Genomic DNA, 3,161 nt, shown 5'->3' with positions numbered 1-3,161 from the left:
TGGATTGTTGTCAATTTATTAAACCATCCCCCATGATGAGTGTACTCATATCCAAACAGAAACAAGAAGAAAAGCAATAAGCTCTATATCTTAGTTCATTTGGGCTGCTGTAACAAAAATACCATAGACTGGGTAAATATAAACAACAGAAATTTATTGCTTATAGCTCTGGAGGCTTGGAAGTCTAAGATCAAGGTGCCAGCAGCTTTGGCATCTGGTGAGGGGTTTGTCTGCTTCCTAGCGTCTTCGGGGTGCATCCTCACATGACCGCAGGGCAAACAAACTCCCTCGGGCCTCTTTTAAAAGGGCGCTAATTCCATTCATAAGGGTGGAGCCCTCATTACCTAATCACCTCCCAAAAGCCCTACCTCTTAATACTAACACATTACTGATTATATCTTAACATATGAATTTTGGGGGACACATTCGGACCATAGCACTCTGATTAGAAAATGGCAGAAGATGCTATCAGCCTTGGGGCATCCTTCCAGAGTTCTTAGGGTAACTCCTAATAAACTAAGCAAATAAAATCCCAATGCTGTATTGTTAAGGTGAGAAGATTTGCTCCAAATCCCAATGCTATATGGTTAATATGAGATGGAGCGGGTGGTGGGGGGTGGTTAGAGAAGTGATACAAATGGCGGCTCCAATATTTGGGTTGAATTACCATGCTGTAGTGGAACTCACACAAGGATGGAACTTGCCTTGGGCAAGCCCCTATGGTTCTTTTTTTGTTTTGAGATGGAGTCTTGCTCTGTCGCCCAGGCTGGAGTGCAGTGGTGCGATTTTGGCTCACTGTAACCTCCGCCTCCCGGGTTCAGGTGATTCTCCTGCCTCAGCCTCCCAAGTAGCAAGGATTACAGGCAGCTGCCACCATGCCTGGCTAATTTTTGTATTTTTAGGAGAGACGGGGTTTCACTATGTTGGCCAGGCTGGTCTCGAACTCCTGACCTCAGGTGATCCACCTGCCTTGGCCTCCCAAAGTGCCGGGATTACAGGCGTGAGCCATCATGCCTGCCCACCCCTACGCTTCTTAGAGCCTCTATTTTCTCATTGTAAATCATGGGTGATAATGCTTACCACCAAGAGGCATCTGGGGGTTTTCTGGAAGTAGCCCAGCTAGCCCCGGGTCTGATCCCAATTGACAAAGTCAGTGCTGCTTTAAGAAATATAATCCTCAGTTCTCCGTGCCACTTTTAGTGCTCCTACTCCAAGTCAAAGTTAAGCCATGGGCAAAGGAGAGGTCATGTATGAGCAGGGCCTGTGAAGTTGGGATGGAGACGGCAGGAATGCTGAGGGAAATGCAAGGGAAAAAGTAGGACTAAGGGAGATAGGCATGTTAAAGGCAAACAAAATGGAGCCCAGATTAGGAGAGAAGTTCGAGGATTGCTTGAAAACCAAGATGATATTTTAAAAAGATTGTTTTTTTCAGAAACCCGTAACTTAAAAGATGAGAATAAGGAGAAAGAATGAGGGAAAGAAGTTGAGTGTCAGAGGTAGAAGGTGGGGAAAGAAGCAGAGTTTGAAAAGAAGATAGGCCTTTCCAGATAAAGGCAGGCAGGGGACTGATAGAAAGTACCCTGGGGTCATGCTGGAGAGACAGGCCAGTGAGTGTGGCACATGTGCCACAGCGGGCATCCAGGAGTGGAAGAGGTAGAAGAGCCCTCATACAGCCTCTGTCTGATACTGCAGCCTGAGAACAGTCAGAGCTCTGCTGAGAGGCGGGGTGGTAGGGAAGACAACACAACAGGAAGGGGCAAGGGCAAGCTAGTGTGTTTGCGATGCCCCTCCATCTCCTCTGCTACCACTTCTCAATGTAACCCAGGGGGGCTACTTCACCACTGCCCTCCAGTCACCCAAAGCTATTGCCGTTCTGACTTTCCACCCCACCCCAACATACACATGCACACATTCACTCTGACACCTCAGAAAGTTTTCCTTTGCTATAGCTCAGTGATTTTGACTTCTGTATGCTACAGACTTGTGCTGTCCAATATGGTATCCACTAGGCACATGTGGTTTTTGAGCACCACATGACTAGCCTGAGTTGAGATGTGCAGTAAGTGTAAAATAAACACTGGATTTCTATAAAGGAACTGCTCTGTGCCCGCATCCTGATGACCTTACACTATCCACATAGGCCACACAGGCCAGGCTCAACTGCAGGCTGACTCAGGTCCTGGCATAACATCCTGTGATCCTCCCGGAACACAGGAAGACAGGCAGTCTTGTGAGAATTTGCTACAAGAGCGTTTCTCAGTCATCTCCCTATCTTGAGGGAGGTTGCCATGAGACAGCTTGTCACCTGCCTCCCTCGTTCCAGTTAAGTATAGGGCTTTCTGCCTGCTTCCCACTCCAGAGGGTACAGTTGCAGGCCATAAAACTGCTTAGCTGCAGTGTGTCATTGGCTACACAGTACCAGGGGGTCCTACCATTCATGTTGCCTGTCATCTAGCCCCTTTTGTTGCCCTGTTATATTGTTCTGTGGGACGAGGGATGCAGGGAGCTGATACGATTGCTGATCTTGCTTTTTCTGTCTCTATAAGGAATAAACTGTCTGGATCTCTCTGGATCTCGTGTGTGTGTGTGTGTGTGTGTGTGTGTGTGTTTCCCCCAGCTGAATGTGTCAGCTTGCTTGACATTTCCAAAGACTTGGTTAAAAATATATTTTAAAATCTCATTAATAATTGTTTTATACTATTACATGTTGAAAGGGTAATATTGTGGATATATTGGGTTATTAAAATTAATTCCATCTATTTTTATTTTTGTAATATGGCTGCTATAAAATTTAAAATTACATATGTGGCTTGCATTATTTTATACTGGACAGTGTTGCTATAGTTTGGTGAGAGGCTGAGGCAGGAGAATTGCTTGAATCCAGGAGGCAGAGGTTGCAGTAAGCTGAGATTGCACAACTGCACTGTAGCCTGGGTGACAGAGTGAGACTCCGTCTCAAAAAAAAAAAAAAAGAAAAGAAAAGACGGACTGACAGGGTTTTACTTATTGACAGGATATATATATACACACAGGAGATATATATATATATATATAGATGGATATATATATATAGATGGATTATATATATACAGACATACACATGCTATATATATATTACGGATATATATATATATCCTTAATATAAAAAGAAAAGAAAAGAA

The sequence above is a fragment of the Homo sapiens genome, chromosome X (assembly GCF_000001405.40).
Source record: "Homo sapiens chromosome X, GRCh38.p14 Primary Assembly".
In the NCBI taxonomy this organism is placed as follows: Eukaryota; Metazoa; Chordata; class Mammalia; order Primates; family Hominidae; genus Homo; species Homo sapiens.
This window is presented reverse-complemented; position numbering follows the sequence as displayed.